This window comes from Homo sapiens, chromosome 7 (genome assembly GCF_000001405.40).
Source record: "Homo sapiens chromosome 7, GRCh38.p14 Primary Assembly".
Taxonomy (NCBI): Eukaryota; Metazoa; Chordata; class Mammalia; order Primates; family Hominidae; genus Homo; species Homo sapiens.
The window spans coordinates 101,527,304-101,544,866 of NC_000007.14; the positions used below are offsets into that span (position 1 = coordinate 101,527,304).

A 17,563-nucleotide genomic window follows, 5' to 3' on the forward strand; every position below is an offset into this window, starting at 1 on the left:
TCTCTTTTCTTTTTCTTTTTTCTTTTTATTTTTTTCTCTTTTTGAGATGGAGTCTAGCTCTGTTGCCAGACTGGAGTGCAGTGGCACGATCTCGGCTCACTGAAACCTCTGCCTCCCAGGTTCAAGCAATTCTCCTGCCTCAGCCTCCCGAGTAGCTTGGATTACAGGCACGCACCACCACGTCCAGCTGATTTTTTTTTTTTTGTATTTTTAGTAGCGACGGGGTTTCACCATGTTGGCCAGGATGGTCTTGATCTCTTAACCTCGTGATCCGCCCACCTCAGCCTCCCAAAGTGCTTGGATTACAGGCGTGAGCCACCACGCCAGCCTGTGTCTTTCACACACACACTTGCTTGTGCACCCACAAACACAGACTAGTTTGCCTGGTACGTTGACACTTCCAACATACACCTATTGGCAAAGGTTTACCCCGCTGGTTTCTGTGTGGGTCCTAGACGCTGGGAAAGGCACTGTGGCCCCAGGTGCTCCAGGGCCAGTGTGTTCTCGGAGGGGCCAGGCATTTGGGACACTTCATAATCCTGGAAAGTTAGCGACCACATCGTAGAGTAGTTCGGGCAGGGCCTCCTCTGGTCACAGAGCCAGGAGGGGGCAGGATCAGCACCCCCATCACCATTTCCATGTTTCCAGCACTCCAGTGAATAATCAAAGAAAGTTAAACAAACATGCTTTAATTGCCTGTCGATGACAGATGCCAAGGGAATGAAAATCCCGTCCGGTTCTGGAGCGCCTGCCCGGGGATGGGGGTGGTGTGGGGAGTCCGAGCTGGCTGGGCCTCTAGGGCCTCACCACAGCTGGGGAGCTGGACCCACCCCACAACCCCCATGTCCACCGTTGGCCAAGCTGCTCCTCACCTGCCAAGCAGGGTGCCCAGTGCCAGAGCAAACTGGGCCCAGGCCCAGCATAATTTCCAGAAATAGGTCTTTGAGAGAGCTGGGCCTCCCCCTCCATCCGCTGAACTTCCACCATGCAGGGGATCCTATTTGTTGCCTCAGGCCCTTGAAACACTCTGCTCAAGGCCCCTAAAAGCCTCCAGATTGTGCAGTTTGCCCAGAGTTCCTGGACAGGCCAGGGCTGTCATTTGTAACTTCCCCATGTCCACCTCCTCCTCCTCTTCCCTCAGGCCCCAAGGGTGGGGTGGTGTCTTCCTGTGTGGCTCGAGCTGGAGAGTTGCTTTTCCCTTCCCTCCCCTTCCCTCTCCTCCCCTCCTCTCCCCTCCTGTCCTCTCCCTTCCCCTCCCCTCTCTGACAGGGTCTGGCTCTGTTGCCCAAACTGTAGTGCAGTGGCGCCAACATGGCTCACTGCAGCCTCAACCTTCTGGACTCAGGTGATCCTCCTGCCTCAGCCTCCAAAGTAGCTGAGACTACTGGCACGCACCACCATGCCTGGCTAACTTTTGTATCTTTTTGTACAGACAGGGTCTCACTGTGTTCACCAGGCTGATCTCAAACTCCCGGGCTCAAGCGATCCACCCACCTCAACCTCCCAAAGTACAGGGATTCCAGCCATGAGCCACCACACCCATCCTTCTTTTCTTTTTTAAATATGTTATTTTATTTTAAGGCTAGGTGCTGTGGCTCACGCCTGTCATCTCAGCTCTTTGGGAGGCCAAGCCGGGTGGATCACTTGAGGTCAGGAGTTCGAGACCAGCCTGGCCAACACAGCGAAACCCTATCTCTACTAAAAATACAAAAATTAGCCAGGCACGGTGGCACGTGACTGTAGTCCCAGCTACTTGGGAGGCTGAGGCAGGAGAATCACTTGAACCCCGGTGGCAAAGGTTACAGTGAGCCAAGATTGTACCACTGCACTTCAGCCCAGGCAACAGAGCAAGATTCTGTGTCAAAAGAAAATTATTTTATGTTAGATTCAGGGGGTTATATGTGCTTGTTTGTTACATGCATAATAGTAGGGATTGGGCTTGTAGTGCACCCATCACCCAAATATTTTTTGTTTTTTGTTTTTGAAACGGAGTTTTGCTCTCTTGGCCAGGCTGGAGTGCGATGGCTTGATCTTGGCTCACTGCAGCCTCTGCCTCCCGGGTTCAAGCGATCCTCGTGCCTCAGCCTCCCTAGTAGCTGGGATTTTAGGCATCTGCCACCACACCTGGCTAATATTTGTATTTTTAGTAGAGACAGGGTTTCACCATGTTGGCCAGGCTGGTCTCGAACTCCTGATCCTCTCACCTCGGCCTCCCAAAGTGCTGAGATTACAGGCGTGAGCCACCATGCCCGGCCTCATCACCCAAATGTTGAACACTGTACCAGAGAGATTATTTTTCAATCCTCATACCCCATCTTTATGTCCATATATACCCCTTGTTCAGCTCCTACTTATAGGTGAGAACATGCAATATTTGATCTTCTGCTTCTGAGTTTGTTCGCTCAGAATGACAACCTCCAGCTGCGTCCATGTTGCTGCAAAGGACATGATTTTATTCTTTTTCATGGCTGTGTAATATTCTACAGTGTATATGCACCTCATTTTCTTTATCCAATCCACCATTGGTGGACGCTTAGGTTCCATCTTGCTTTTTCCAAGTGATCCTGGTCAACCCACAGAACACAGCTACTAGAGAGGGGTCATGCATCTCTGCTTTCAAGTAGACAACCCCTGAAGGCAGGCATTCGGGTCTGTGCAGCCCTGACCCTCTCCCCACCAGTATTAGAGTGTTGGCACAGTGTCATCCAGTCGCAGGAACATCCACAGAGCCTTCGGGTGGATGAGGGATGATTAGAGGTAGAGGAGAGGAGGTGGACAGATGGGGAGCAGGGTGAATGTATAGGTGGGTAGATGGGGGTGTTTAGGGCTGGGGTAGCTTAAGGTGTAGGATGGGTAGCTGGGTGGGTGAGTGAATAGGTGAACAAATGGAACCCTGTTCATTTTGATCTCTGCCTTTCCCATTAAGGACTTCTTTCAGCCGCACAGGAATCATTGGTTGTGTAAGTTTAAGAGGAAGGCACTAGGCTGGGCGTGGTGGCTCTCACTTGTAATCCCAGCACTTTGGGAGGCTGAGGTGGGCGGATCCCTTGAGGTCAGAAGTTCGAGACCAGCCTGGGCAACATGGTAAAACCCCGTCTCTACTAAAAATACACAACTAGCCGGGCGTGGTGATGCGTGCCTGTAATCCTAGCTACCCGGGAGGCTGAGGCAGGAGAATCACTTGAACTTGAGGCGGAGGTTGCAGTGAGCAAGATTGCATCACTGTACTCCAGCCTGGGTGACAAGAGTGAGACTCTGTCTTTAAAAAAAAAAAAAAAAAAAAAAAAAGCAGGCACTGAAAGCCCCCTGGACGCCAGGGCCTTGTTGACTGGGGACTTCCTGGAGGCTGGCCTTTCAGGGACTCCACCGTTTCATCAGGGATGTTCCCAAATGTCAGCGTCGGTGGGTCTTTCCTCTTTGGCAGGCCCCTGTTTCCAGGGAGGACTCCCTCCTCTGCCCCATCTGGGGCATTTTGAGCCCCAGGAGAGCCAGTGGCTCCCAGTCTCCATCCCCGCCTTGGGTTTGCAAGGCTGGCTGGTGCACCTGGCTGCATGCACCTTGCAAAATAGTATTTGCATTGTTCATCTGCCAAGAGGTCCCTCCGCCTTTCCCTTTGCTTTGTGGATTTTATACCTTTTTTATTTCTTGTTTTTTTTTGTTTTTTGTTTTTTTGTTTTTTTGTTTTGAGAAGAAGTCTCACTCTGTCACCCAGGCTGGAGTGCAGTGGTGCGATCTCGGCTCACTGCAAGCTCTGCCTCCTGGCTTCATGCCAGTCTCCTGCCTCAGCCTCCCGAGTAGCTGAGACTACAGGCGCCCGCCACCATGCCTGGCTAATTTTTTGTATTTTTTAGTAGAGACGGGGTTTCACCATGTTAGCCAGGATTGTCTCGATCTCCTGACCTCATGATCCTCCCGCCTTGGCCTCCCAAAGTGCTGGGATTATAGGCGTGAGCCACCACACCCGGCCTACCTTTTTATTTCTTTATCAGCCCTTTCCTGAGAGGAAACAGAAGGGAACCTGTGTTCAATCCACCATGTTTAACTAGAAAACCACATCCCTGTATCATGTGTCTTTGGTGAAGTCCTGCCTGGTCCCAGAGTCAGAAAACTGTATATATTCCTCTAGTTGTTTGAATGTTCAGTGTTTATACCTCAGTCTTCAATCTGTTTTATGCATCAGAGGTACTGACAAGGTTTTATGGAGGAGAAAGAGTTCTATTCCTTAACAAATGCTTATAAATCACTGATTTGGGCCAGCCAGGGGTAGAAGGGAGGGAAGGAGGGAGAGGGGCCCTCTGCTAGGCCACATGTCACTGAGGAGCAGCGAGTAGGGTGTTGCCCCCTCTTGACCCGAGACTGAGCACCCTGAGGGTACAGCCTCGACCACCTATTCCCAGGGTCCTGAGACTCCCCCCAACTCCCCGTGGTTTCTCCCCAAACATCTATTGCAGAGGAATCGCCCTTTGTTTTTTGTTTTTTTTTTTAAGGACAGGGAACATTTCAAGGTGATTTGCGTTCGATGACAAAGACGGGGATAGCTCCAAGAACAAGGGGGAGGCTGACAGTGTCGGGGGGCCGTGGACTGTGCGTGTGGGCTGCAGTTCTCACCTCTCCCAAGCAGGATCGTGGTCAGCCCCAGCACGCAGAGTGGGAGCTATTCAGTTACCCAAATACCTCTTAGGCATCTGTTTAACAGTGATGGGGATGTGCAGGGTCAGGCTTTGAAATGAGCTGAAGAAAGAGACTTTAGGCATCCCCTGACTTCTAGAGCAATAAAAGCTCTTTAGAACAGCTTTGAACCATCTATTTCATCATTAAAGAGCTCCAGGTCTCGGGCCTCGGGGGAGACAGACATAAAAAGGTAATTACAGCCCAGAGAGATGTGCTCTTGGGCGGGGTCAGCATCACAAGGCTCCTAATTGGCCTTCCGGGCTCCAGTCCCTCCCACTTCCATCCACTGCACACTCTGCTGCCAGAGTGAGCATCTACAAATGCAAACTTGACCTCGAATTTCACCCGCCTAAGACCCTCCAGTGACCTACAGACACTGCCACAGCCCTTCCCAGGCCCCTGGTGTTAGAGATCCTTGACCTTTCCAGCCTTGGCAGTCCTCAAGTGTGTTCTGAGTTGGCCAACCTGCCCTGTTCTCACTCCCCTCCCAGCCTCAGAAAATGTACTCTTTCAGAATGCATTCCTTTTTCTTTTAGAATGCATTTGCTCTTCTCTCTGCTGAACCTGGCCAGCTATTGTGCATTTCTCAGGTCTCATCTTTGATGCCACTGCCTCCAGGACGTCCTCCTTGATTGTCCCCCTGATTGGACTGGCTTTGGCATCCCCTTCCTACCCTGTGTCTATTAGCCCAACTCCTTCCCCAGACTCTGGTTCTCAAAGTCAGGGGCCCACCTCACTATCTGTTCATCAATTGTCAGATATTTTTTGAGTCTCTGCTTTGTGCCAGTCACTGAGATTCATGGGTGAACACAATAGAAAAAGACCCCTGCCTTCATTGTGCTCACCAGCTCATGGCATCACCTTGTCTGAATAAACAGACAGTATAGTGTACTGCGCGTGCTCAGAAGGGAGGCTCAGTGGTCCAGCAGGCTGCATGGAGGAGGGGGCTCTGAGGGTAAGGCTTTGAAGGATGAATAGGAGTTTTCCAGGCAAAATGACTGGAGATTTCTCTGCTTGCCTGCCTGCCCAGAGGCTATCCTGGTGACTGGGCTGCTGTCTTCCTAGGGTCTACACTCTGCTCTCATATAAGTTCCTCTTCTCTTTCAGAATGCATGAACTGCACCCGGCTCAGTGACATGAGTGAGCGACTGACCACACTGGAGGCCAAGGTCAGTCGGGCTGGGGAGTCTGGGCCTGGGGAGCTGCCTGGGGACCTTGGGTGGTGGAGGGAGGCATCAGGCAACCACTGGGTGTGGCCGTGGAATTCCCAGCCCCGGGTTTCCAAGCAGGCTTGGACAGCCGGTCCCAGGTACTGGGTACTGTTCAGGCCTTGGTGGCTCTGGGTGGCCTTCTTGGGCTGGGAGGTCCCGGGCAGCAGGCTGGTTTTGGGCAGGTCAGAATGGTGCTGAGCTCCCAGGACCCGGGGGCTGGGAGGCTGGACACCCAGAAGACAGTGGAAAGAGGAGGGAGTCTCTGTCCCTCCAGGGCCACTGTTCCCACCTCCAGAATGGGGCTGGGCACAGAGGAACCGATGGGAAAAGACTCCGTGGAGGAGGAACTGCTGGGAAGTGACCAGCTTTTGGCCCAGTCTATAAGAACAGGACTCCCTAAGTGGAGTCAACCCAGAGGCAGAAGGAATCCACAAAGGACAAGTAATTTACCTGGCAGTGACCCCAGGCAGCACTGGGCAGGGAGAGAGGCCAAGAAGGGTATGCCCAGTACAGGTGTGTTCATGGGCAGGTGACCTGTGGGAGCACCTGGGGCTCCATCCCACGCTCCCTCTGGGAGACGGTGGTTTTGAGAACGTTTCAGGGGCAGCCACCTTAGGGCGATGAAGCCAGGCATCTCTCCTGCTCCTCACTGGGTAACACTTACCCGAGGGTACCTCTGTCTCAGCAGGCTCATGCCAGCTCCTGTGGCTGGAGAAAGCCCTTGGCAGAGTTGCAGGTGGCCACAGGCAAAAGCCAAAGCCAGGTGGGGCTGAAGGGTGCGTGTGGGGCGCCAACAGTGTCTGCCCCGATGGGGACAAGCCCCGTTCTCACCCAGAGGGCTTGGTAAGCAGGCTCTGGTGTTTAGCCAGAGGGGCTCGACCTGAGGGAGGACAGGTCTGGAGGGATGAGGCAGCCTCCAAATATCTACAAAGCCTCTTGGGACAGCAGGGTTGGCTGCACTGCCTGGCCCCCCAGGGGAGAGCCAGCACCAGGAGGCTGGAATCACCTGAGCCTGAGGCAGAGCTCTCTCCGGGGAAGAACTGTGGTGACCAGAGCACGTGGCATTGTCCAGAGAGAGTGTGTGAACAGGGCCACGTGGCAGGGAGGACCAGGGACCTGAGACGGTGGGGCTGGAGCCCCAGGCAGCAAGAACCCCTAGAAGAGAGCAGGGCCAGGGTCAGCCATGCCTCCACCCAGAAGAGCACACATACACACGCATGCATACCCACATAATACATGTGCACACACATGCACACATAGGCACCTGTGCACACACATCTGTGTGCATGTGGAGACACACATACATATATACACATACAGACACACACATTTGCACATGTGCACACAGACACATGCACACACACAAAAACAGGGACACACATATGTAATACCCATGGTCACATGCACGGATACTCAGGCATACATACACACACACACAAGCATGCATGTCAATGGGCACACATACATATACACACACACACACACACACACATGACACAACTGTGCACACATTAACACACACAGCCCTTGACAACTCCACATTACCCTTGGCCCTGACTTCCGCCCTGGGGGTTGCAGGTGAGTGTGGCTTGGAGTCAGACATTTGTGGGACCACCACCCGCCAGCTGGGTGACTCTCTCAGAGCCCCCTTCCTCATCTGTAGAATGGATCAGAGCATCAGCCCTGCAGGGCTGTTGAGAGCCTCCAGGGAGATGGCAGTGGGAACCGGCTTTGGAAATGGTCTAATGCTGACCAGGAGTCAAGGATTAGTGCTGTCACCCACGCCAGCCACGTCACTGTTCCCGCCTTACAGATATGAACACAGGTGTGCGGGAGACATCTGTGCAGAGCAATGACGGGGAGCCCCACGGCATGCATTCGCGGCTTCCCTTGTCCTCCAGCCCTTCCATGGGCGGGCAGGGTCTCCCAGCAGCCCAGGCCCCTGGGCACAGGCCTGGGATGGGAGAGACCCAGCTGCTCTCCTTGGAGTCTTAGCTCTTGTGGGGCAGGATTGGAGGGCTCCAGGGAGCAAATGTTTCCACATGGGCTGAGCCGGGGCCAGGACCCCCTAGAATGAGTATAGGGGAAGATGTTGAGCCGGTAAGCTTCTGGCACCTGAGATTTTAGAAAAGGCAGGGTCCCCGAGCCATGCCCAGCCTGATGGACATTTTCCTAGTACCGGAAGCCTCTGTGTGGTTTGGCACAGAGCAGCAGCCCTGGCCTCAGCCCAGTATTGTGGGTGTTAAAAGTCGCAGCTCTAGGGTAGGATGGCCACATTGCCAGCTGTCCCCCACCCACCTGGCCCACATCCTCCCATCATGAGCAATTCCTCCCTGTGGTCTTCCCGGCCCTGACACCCTCTCCACCAAGGGCCCCAGCTCCATGGCCTCCAGCAGCAGGCCCGGGGCAGAGCTTTGTCCTGTGACCCTGAGTGAGAGGACTGTGTCCTCTCTGTGTGCCTCGAGGGCTGGAGGGAGGGACAGCAGTGCGTGGGAGGAGCCCAGGCCAAGATTCCCACCCTTCCTCCACTCCATCTTGGCCAGCCCTTCCCTCTGGATCTCAGTCGGATGGCCTGGAAAATGGAAATTGGAGTCACTTCGTTTTGAGGCTGGTCCAGAGTGGGGAAGCTCAGGCAGCTCTCGAGTGGGGAGCTGGGGTTGGTAGCTTGGGCCTGGAGTGTGCAGAGATGGGGTAGCTCTGCAGCCCCCGTCCTTTTGACAGTTGTCTGCATTTCTAAGTAGGGGCTGGGAGACTCCTATCTTAGCTCCCCCGTCTTGTCTGGAGCACCTTCTGGCCGCCCACCTGCCCACTCCATGCCCACGTATGTTGAGAGGGCCTCTAGGAGGTTTTTTTAGACAAGGTCTCGTGCTATCTCAGTGTGGTGGCGTGATCTCAGCTCACTGCAACCTCTGCCTCCTGGGACAGGTTCAAGTGATTCTCCCGCCTCAGCCTCCTGAGTAGTTGGGATTACAGGTGTGATCCACCACATCCGGCTAATTTTTGTATTTTTAGTAGAGACGGGGTTTCCCTATGTTGGCCAGGCTGGTCTCAAACTCCTGACCTCAAGTGATCTGCTCGCCTTGGCCTCCCAGTGTTGGGACTACAGGCATGAGCCACTGTGCCTGGCCCCACTGGCAGCTTTGATGGCCCAGATCAGAGGGCCCTGAGAGGCAGCGGCCTGGAGAGGGGAAGGGAACACCAGCTGGGCTAGTTGCCAAGACAGCCCAGCGGCACCAGAGGCCATGCCGAGGTCAGGCGAGTCTGCAGGAGCCAGGACACGGAGCTGGGTTTTCAGCTTAGATCAGAGGCTAGGGGTCAGCCAGGGCAGAGGCTGGGATCCTAGCAGGGTGAAGGCAGAGCCAGGACAGGAGCCAGGCAGGCAGATCCCAGACAGGGAAGCAGAAATCAGATGGCTTGCATAAAACAGCAGCAACCCAGAGCCTGGACACTGGGGCTTCTGCTCCCTTAGACAAGAAGTCTGCTTTGGTATGTCGGGAAGGAGGCAAATGAGAGAAACCTGGCCAATGGTAGCTTATTCCATAAGGACATTTATTGTTTATTCCACAAGAAGTCCAGGAGCAGAGGTGGTCTCGGGATTGGTTTGGTGTCCAAAGAAGCCAGGCTCTTCGCTGACTTCTTAGTGAGCTGGTTGATGCCTCATGATTATAAAGTGGCTGCTGCAGCTCCAGGCATCACATCCTCACCTTGTATGTAAAGGCAGGAAGTGGAGGGTGAGGTGAAGCACCCAAACAGACTCCTTACGTTTCATGAGCCTGTGCTGGGGCAATGTGACCACCTCCTGGTTGCAAGGGAGCTGGGAAACTGAGTACCTGGCCAAACAGAAAGGGATGGCTCTGCCTGGCTCAGGCTGGTCCTGATTCCTTTCCTGGGTCACATGTACAGAGTCACAAGAGGGAGTTCTGGGGCAAGAGAAGAAGGGGCATTGGGGGCCAGGCAACCCACAGAGTCTGCTCCATCTGCTCTCCCACTGGTGCAGACCTAGAAGCTGGTCCAGGATTTCTGCCACCCTCTATTCCTGGGACAGGCTGGCAGGCAGAAGGCCAGCAGGGTACCGGGGAAGATTCCTGCTTGCCCTCCCCTCTCCTGCCCCGGGCTTTACTCTCTGACCTCATGGACCACAAACAGTACACAAGAGTCACAGAAGCCTCAGAGTCCCAGCAGTCTCTGGTGCAGAGGGCAGTGTCCCGGCTAGTCTGCCAGGCCACAATGACATCATCAGGGCCACTGCCCCCGAAGGCCGTGGCCTGGTTTTCTTGGCCCCACGCCCATGGCTGCCCACCCGGGTGAGCTCATGCCTGGACAGAAATGGGATCAGTTTCTCCAGGTCAGACACAGCCAGGCCAGGAGGGCTGAGACGCTGGCAGGGGCAGATTCCAACCAGGGCTCCTCTGCCCAGGTCTGCAGGCTCTGTGGGCAGGGGTGTCCCAGTGGGAGGTGCCCCATGAAGGAGAGAGCTAGGCCTTTTGTACTGGCTGGCAGGTCACTTCGGGGGAAGCCAGAGCTTTGCCCAGAATGGGGAACACTAGAGGTTGCCTGTAGGAGGCCAAGGCGGGACCCCTCCCCAGATCTCTCCAGGCTTCACCCTGCTCCCTCCTCCTCCACCCTAGCCTCCCCACACCATCCCTGCCTCCTCTCATGGTCCTCTACCTCCACTTCCCAGCCCTTGGGACCACCCCCTGTTAAATATGGCCATCTGAGTTCCCCTTGGGATACTGCAACCCACCCCCGCCAACTTATCACCTTCACTCCCAAGCCTGCCCCTCTCCCGTGCCCTTGTTCGACTGGGGGCATTTCTACTATTCCCAGCAGCCAGGCCTGAAAGGGGAGACACACTCCAACCTTCACCCCACCTCCTGCCCCCAGCCCCAGGAGCACCAGGGCCTGACGCTCCTCCAAATCCCCTGCGCTGGCCATCCCAGGCCCCTTCCATCACGTGACCTGACAGCCACCGTCTTCTTGCTCCTCTCCAGAGCCCCTAAACTTGGCTGTGGCCCGTCAGCTTCTTCAGGGGTGCCAGTGGCTGGGGCAGGAATCGGAACCCTTCTCTCCTCCTGGAGATTCAGGAGAACGGGGTCCACCCTTCACTGCCGTGTGATCTGAGCCAGCTGTCCCCGCTCTCTGTGCCTCCACGAAGCTCAGCCGGGGTTGAGACAGAACTGTTGGGAGGATAAACTGTGGTTTGGTGGATGAGGCACCACTAGGGGCCCCGGCCTCACCGCCCATTTGCTGGGTGATCTCAGGCAAGTCACTTGCAGTCTCTGAGCCTCTGTCTCCACCTCATTTGTGATGTCGCCGCAGTGACCCTCCCAGTTTCATGGACCCTTCTAAGGACCAGAAAGGGGAGGGGCTGAAAGAATTGGCTCTGGGGGGTTAAGGGGCCCTGGGCCAGGCATCCAGGCCATCGGAGGACTGTGTCCCATAGAGGGGTGGAGGGGGAGCCCGTTCTGCAGCCCACAGCAGGGCCTGAGCCCAGGGGGCCCAGCCAGAACCCTGGGTGCAGGGTCAGAGCCCTGAGCAGCCGCTAAGTGCACCCTGGAGACACCCCTGCTGGGGAGGAGCCCAGAGCAGGCCACTTTGTCCCCAGGGATCCCAGGACTGTCCCCCAGGCCCAGGGGCACTGCAGAACTGGTGAGGGAGCTACTCAGGCAGACCATCTGCCTGTGCACCATGGACTCTCAGCTCAGCCCAGCAGGTCCTTCACGCCCCTCGGCCCCAGGACCCACCCAAGTTCCCAGCAGGGATCTCCACCCACCCTGAGCCTATTTCTGGCACACAGCGCCCCCTGCTGGCCTCTTCGGGGGCAGCAGAGACTCACGGGGCCTCTGAGTCCTGGCTCTCAAGTTGTTTAAAGGAAGGAGAAAGTCTCCCGGTCCCGGGATCTGGGTCTCAGCCACCTTTGACTCCTGCCTCCCTCAAGGAGGGACAGATGGGGCCGCATTGCAGGCTGGTCCCAAGCAATCGTGGCCACTTTTGTTTTTCTGGAAAGTCTTCTAAAGGTCATGTGCCACAAGGGGCCTATTTATACCCACCCTTTCACTCTCCTCCCTCCCTTTCTTCCCTTCCTTTTCTGTCTGTGTGTGTGTGTGTATGTGTGTGTGTGTGTGTGTGTGTGTGCGTATGTGTGTGTGCTTTTTTTTTCTCTCTCTCTCTTTTTGTAGATGTGGTCTCGATCTGTCACCCAGGCTGGAGCGCAGTGGCACAATCATAACTCACTGTAGCCTTGAACTCCTGGGCTCAGCCTCCTGAGTAACTGGGACTGCAGGCGTGTGCCACCACGCCTGGCTAATTTTCTTTATTTTTTGTAGAGATGGGGGTCTCACTGTGTTGCCCAGGCTGGTCTCAAACTCCTGGCCTCAAGTGATCCTCCAGCCTCAGCCTCTTAAAGTGCTGGGATTACAGGCATGAGCCACCACTCCCAGCCAGCACAGGGACTTTGACGGTGTCTGAAGGGCACTCCTTGAACCTGAGGGTCCAGAAAGACTTTCCTGATGTCAGAAGGAGGAGAGGGCTGGGATGGAGGGAACCTGGGCCACGAGTGAGGTTCTCCCACTAAGGAGCGTGACGGGGCACACACAGCGTGGACAGCTGCAGGTCTCATGGGGTGCACATGCATGTCCCTGTGTGTCACGCATGTCCCTATGTGTCAGGCCCAACTGGGACCTGACTCTCTATCTCCTTTGGCCCAGGTCCTCCTGCTAGAAGCAGCAGAACGGCCCTCCAGCCCGGACAACGACCTGCCAGCCCCCGAGAGCACTCCGCCGACCTGGAATGAGGACTTCCTCCCCGACGCCATCCCTCTTGCTCACCCTGTGCCACGACAGAGAAGGCCCACGGGCCCAGCCGGTGAGTGAGGGCTGCAGAGAGGACAGGCTGGGGCAGCCGAAGGGACCTTGGGCATGGCCTCCCAGGGCCTCCCTAGAGAGGCCACACACTAGACACTCTAGTTCCAACATGCCATGTGGCATTTTGAAAAATTAAGCTAACAGTTGAAAATGGGTATTTCACCTAAAAGCCAGGATTTCTAGTTTCTCTTAAGAAGTAGACGATCTGGTCAGGTGCAGTGGCTCATGCCTGTAATCCCAACACTTTGGGAGGCCGAGAAGGGTGGATCATTTGAGGTCAGGAGTTCGAGACCAGCCTGGCCAACATGGTGAAACCCTGTCTCTACTAAAAATACAAAAATTAGCCAGGCGTGGAGGCAGGTGCCTGTAATCCCAGCTACTCAGGAGGCTGAGGCAGGAGAATCGCTTGAACCCGGAAGGCGGAGGTTGCAGTGAGCCGAGATCACGCCACTGCACTCCAGCCTGGGGGACAAGAGCAAAATTCCGTCTAAAAAAAAAAAAAAAAAAGTAGACCATCTGGCCGAGCATAGTGGCTCACTCATGCTTGTAATCCTAGCACTTTGGAAGGTCAAGGCAGGTGGATCATTTGAGGTCAGGAGTTCGAGACCAACCTGGGCAACATGGTAAAACCCCCATTTCTACTGAAAATACAAAAATTAGCCCAGCATGATTAATCCCAGCTACTCCTAAGGCTGAGGCATGAGAATTGCTTGAGCTGGGGAGGTGGAGGCTGTAGTGAGCCAAGATCATGCCACTGCAATCCAGCCTGGAAGACGGGGTGAAACCCTGTCTCAAAAAAATAGATGATCTTGGGCAGGTGCAGTGGCTCACACCTATAATCCCAGCACTTTGGAAGGCTGAGGTGGGAGGATTGCATGAAGCCAGGAGCTCAAGACCAGCCTGGGCAACATAGTGAGACCCTGTCTCTACAAAAAATTATAAAAATAAAAATGAGAAAATTGGCCATCAGGGCTGGCAGTCCCTCATGGAAACAACCAGCTACTGGGTTGCCACTGTAGGTCCAGTCCAGGCTGTGCAGTTTGCCGCAGTCCCCACCATTCCCTATTGTCTTACAGCTCAGCTACTGTCTTCAGTATCTGCCCTGCTCCTTGGCTTCTGCACTTATGGCCCCCAGCCCAGCCTTGCTGGGTTCAATTTTGCAGCATTCTGCCTGGCCAGGGAGCAGGAACTTACTGCTTCCCACCTCTTTCTGGGGTTTGCTCTCTGAACTCTCTGGCTGGAATTGGAGGACATCTGCCCCCCTGCCTTCCTGCCACACTTTTACAATTTTATTTTATTTTATTATTTTATTTTGAGACAATGTATTGCTCTGTCACTGAGGCTGGAGCACAGTAGTATGATCATAGTTCACTGCAGCCTTCATCTCCGAGGCTCAGGTGATCCTCCTGCCTCAGCCTCCCAAGTAGTTGGGACTACGAGTGCACACCACCACACTTGGCTTTTTTTTTTTTTTTTAATTTTTAGTAGAGACGAGGTCTCACTGCGTTGCCAGGCTGGTCTCAAACTCCTGGCCTTAAGCAATCCTCATGCCTCGGCTTCCCAAAGTGCTGGGATTTACAGGTGTGAGCCACCATGCTTGGCCCTGGCCACATTTTAAAGTTAAGGGGAAGAATTTTCCCTCTGCAGATTCTACCTACTGGTCTGGGCTCTGCCACCTGGGGCTGTAATTACCTTTGCTTTAATCACAATTGTAATAATCATAGTTGCAATCGATGAAGCCCTCCTGGTTGCCAGACACTGAGGTGGGGCTTTATCCTGGAGGACATTTAGCAAACAACACCTGTCTATAAGGCTGAATCCAGGGGTTGAAGGCTGAGGTCTACCATGAGTGGTCAGGATCTGCACTGTGCCAGTTATTAAATATTTTCATATCAGATATGAAAATATTTCAAATACAGATATAATTTTTTTTTTTGACATGGAGTCTCACTCTATCACTCAGGCTGGAGTGCAGTGTCGTGATCTCGGCTCACTGCAACCTCTGCCTCCTGGGCTCAAGGGATTCCCCTGCCTCAGCCTCCCTAATAACTGGGATTACAGGCACGCACCACCAAGCCCCGCTACTTTTTGCATTTTTAATACAGAAGGGGTTTTGTCATGTTGGCCAGGCTGGTCTTGAACTCCTGACCTCAAATGATCTGCCCTCCTTGGCCTCCCAAAGTGCTGGGATTACAGGTGTGAGCCAGCACACGCAGCCTAATTTTTGTATTTTTAGTAGAGACGGGGTTTCACCATGTCGGCCAGGCTGGCCTCAAACTCCTGACCTCAAGTGATCCACCCGCCTCGGCCTCCAAAGTGTGGAATTACAGGTGTGAGCTAGCGCACCCAGCCTACAGATATCACTCTTAATCTTCACACAAAGCTTGGAAGCCTTGAGGTTACAGGGGAGACACCTGAGGCTCAGAGAAGTTAAGTGACACCCCTGGGGTCACCCAGCAAGCCAGCAAGCTGGGGGCATTTTGCCTCCATGATTCTCTGCCCTTAGAGCCCTTTGGAGGGGGCGCTCTCCCTCTGCCCTCTGTTCTGAGTGTCTATTCTGATGCTGGGTTGGGGAGCAGGGGCAGAGCAGGGAGGAGAGATGCATGACACAGGTGGCCTCCAGTGGCCAGTCCCAGGGCCGGGGAAGGAGAGTAGGGTATCCTGCATTCTTGGAAAGGGACTGAAGGCTGCGGGAGGAGGGCCGAGCTCAGGTCTCCTACGGGAAGGGGGACCTCTCTCACTCTGGCCCCCGGCCTACCCCTCGAGCCGCTGTCCCTAAGGTCTCACCCCCAGAGCGTTACCTCATGCCCACATTCTTCAGATCTTTCTTGGGGGATGGAGGAGGAGGGGCTTCCCATCCCACCGGGGACCCAGGCCCACGAAAGCGCATGCCTGGCAAGACCTTTCCAACCAGGGGAAAATGCAGTTTCAAGAATGGCCACCAGGTGGGGCACACACTCTACACATGGTGACACCTGCAGCCAACCTGGATTCCAGAGCGCAGGTGGGGCTCTTCCGAGGCCAGCAGCCCCCAGCCAGGCCCTCCCCACCATACCACAGTCCCATGCAGGCAGAGTGCAAAGGGCCCTAAGACTCAGTGCAGGTCCCTTCATCAGATCAGCAAACTTTTTTTTTTTTTCTGAGACGGTCTCGCTCTGTAAGCCAAGCTGGAATGCAGTGGTGTGATTATAGCTCACTGCAGCCCAGACCTCCTGGGCTCAAGCCATCCTCCCACCTCAACGTCCCCAGTAGCTGGGGCCACAGGCGTGCACCACTATGCCCGGTTAACTTTTGTATCTTTTGTAGAGATGGGGTCTCACTATGTGGCCCAGGCTGGTCTCAAACTCCTGGGCTCAAGTGATCTTCCTGCCTCAGCCTCCTAAGGTGCTGAGCAAACATTTTTCAGCATCCTCTCTGGGCCAGAGGGAGAAAAGGCTGTCCCCTGGCCACACAGCAAGCCTTACCTCTCCATCTCCTTGTCCACCCTTGGGGTTTAGAGATCTGTAGCTGGGAAGATCCATCCTTCAGGACCTCCTGGGGCCTCCTCGGAGGCCACCTGTTGGGGAGCACTTTGCCACAAGCCCGGTTCTTGACCCTAAGCAGAGAGACAGCAGGGTGTGAGAGAGGGACCTGGAGCTAAGCAACTTCATCTGCAGCCTGGCTGTGTGAGCTTGGGCAAGGGACCAACCTTCCTGAGCCTCAGTTTCCCCACATTGAAAATGGGAACGAAAGCAGTTCTTAGAATCATAGATGTTTGTAAGTGCAAAGCTGGTTTGTAAGTTGTAATAACCAGCTCCAAGGTGATGTGAGTGCCTTTGCCTGTTTAGGGAGTCCCAGGTAGGCAGGGCTCCTGGGGGAACGTAGGCTGACAGCCCAGGGGGCCAGGCCTGGAGCCACTGGAGGCTGGGGGTCCACCATGTTCTGATGCCCTGTCTCCTTCTCTCCCCAGGGCCCCCGGGGCAGACAGGACCACCAGGGCCTGCAGGCCCCCCCGGGTCTAAAGGTGACCGAGGCCAGACAGGAGAGAAGGGTCCAGCGGGGCCGCCTGGTAAGAAAACCCCCCACATATGTGATGTTGTCAACCTGCGGAAGGGGCTGGGCTTTCTTCTCTACTGGAACAGGCGAGGTGTCCCACGCACCCACAGCCCTGATCTTGCTGGGTACCAGAAAAACGGGGTCTTTTTTTTTTAATTTTTTGAGAGGGAGTCTCGCTCTGTTGTCCAGGCTGGAGTGCAGTGATGCCATCTCGGCTCATTGCCACCTCTGCCTCCCGGGTTCAAGCAATTCTCCTGCCTCAGCCTCCTGAGTAGCTGGGATTACAGGCATGCGCCACCACACCTGGCTAATTTTGTATTTTCAATAGAGACAGGATTTCACCATGTTGGTCAGGCTGGTCTCGAACTCCTGACCTCAGATGATCCACCCACCTTGGCCTCCCAAAGTGCTGGGATTACAGGCGTGAGCCACCACCTCACCTGGCTTTTTTTTTTTTTTTTTTTTGAGATGGAGTCTTGTGCTGTGTCGCCCAGACTGGAGCACGGTGGCACAATCTCAGCTCACTGACACCTCCACCTCCCAGGTTCAAGCAACTGTCCTGCCTCAGCCTACTGAGTAACTAGGATTACAGGTGCCTGCCACCATGCCTGGCTAATTTTTGTATTTTTAGTAGAGACAGGGTTTCACCATGTTGGCCAGGCTGGTCTTGAACTCCTGACCTCAGGTGACCTGCCTGCCTTGGCCTCCCAAAGTGCTGGGATTACAGGGGTGAGCCACAACACCTGGCCAAAACAGGGTCTTCAGGGGCTTCGGGTACAGGCA

General features: G+C 54.8%; 1 protein-coding gene across 6 annotated transcripts in view, besides 2 other annotated features; it reads left to right on the forward strand.

Moving 5' to 3' along the window:
* COL26A1 (collagen type XXVI alpha 1 chain) overlaps window positions 1-17,563 on the forward strand; it is a 196,637-nt gene that overhangs the window by 164,916 nt on the left and 14,158 nt on the right. For all 6 annotated transcript variants that reach the window (XM_017011744.2, NM_001278563.3, XM_017011743.2 and 3 more), the window contains exons 4-6: window positions 5,779-5,840; window positions 12,590-12,746; window positions 16,695-16,793. In XM_017011744.2, coding sequence (XP_016867233.1) covers window positions 5,784-5,840; window positions 12,590-12,746; window positions 16,695-16,793 — 313 coding nt within the window. In that variant the 5' untranslated portion in view covers window positions 5,779-5,783. The remainder of the gene's footprint in view (window positions 1-5,778; window positions 5,841-12,589; window positions 12,747-16,694; window positions 16,794-17,563) is intronic.
* Window positions 14,823-15,491: an enhancer, noted in NCBI's record as "H3K27ac-H3K4me1 hESC enhancer chr7:101185407-101186075 (GRCh37/hg19 assembly coordinates)". NCBI's record gives its function as "activates a minimal SCP1, AML or CMV promoter by ChIP-STARR-seq in naive H9 embryonic stem cells {active_cell/tissue: H9 hESC(naive)}" and the evidence as "EXISTENCE:reporter gene assay evidence [ECO:0000049][PMID:30033119]".
* Window positions 15,505-15,799: a silencer, noted in NCBI's record as "tiled region #7535; HepG2 Repressive non-DNase unmatched - State 12:CtcfO". NCBI's record gives its function as "represses a minimal TATA promoter and a strong SV40 promoter by Sharpr-MPRA in HepG2 cells {active_cell/tissue: HepG2}" and the evidence as "EXISTENCE:reporter gene assay evidence [ECO:0000049][PMID:27701403]".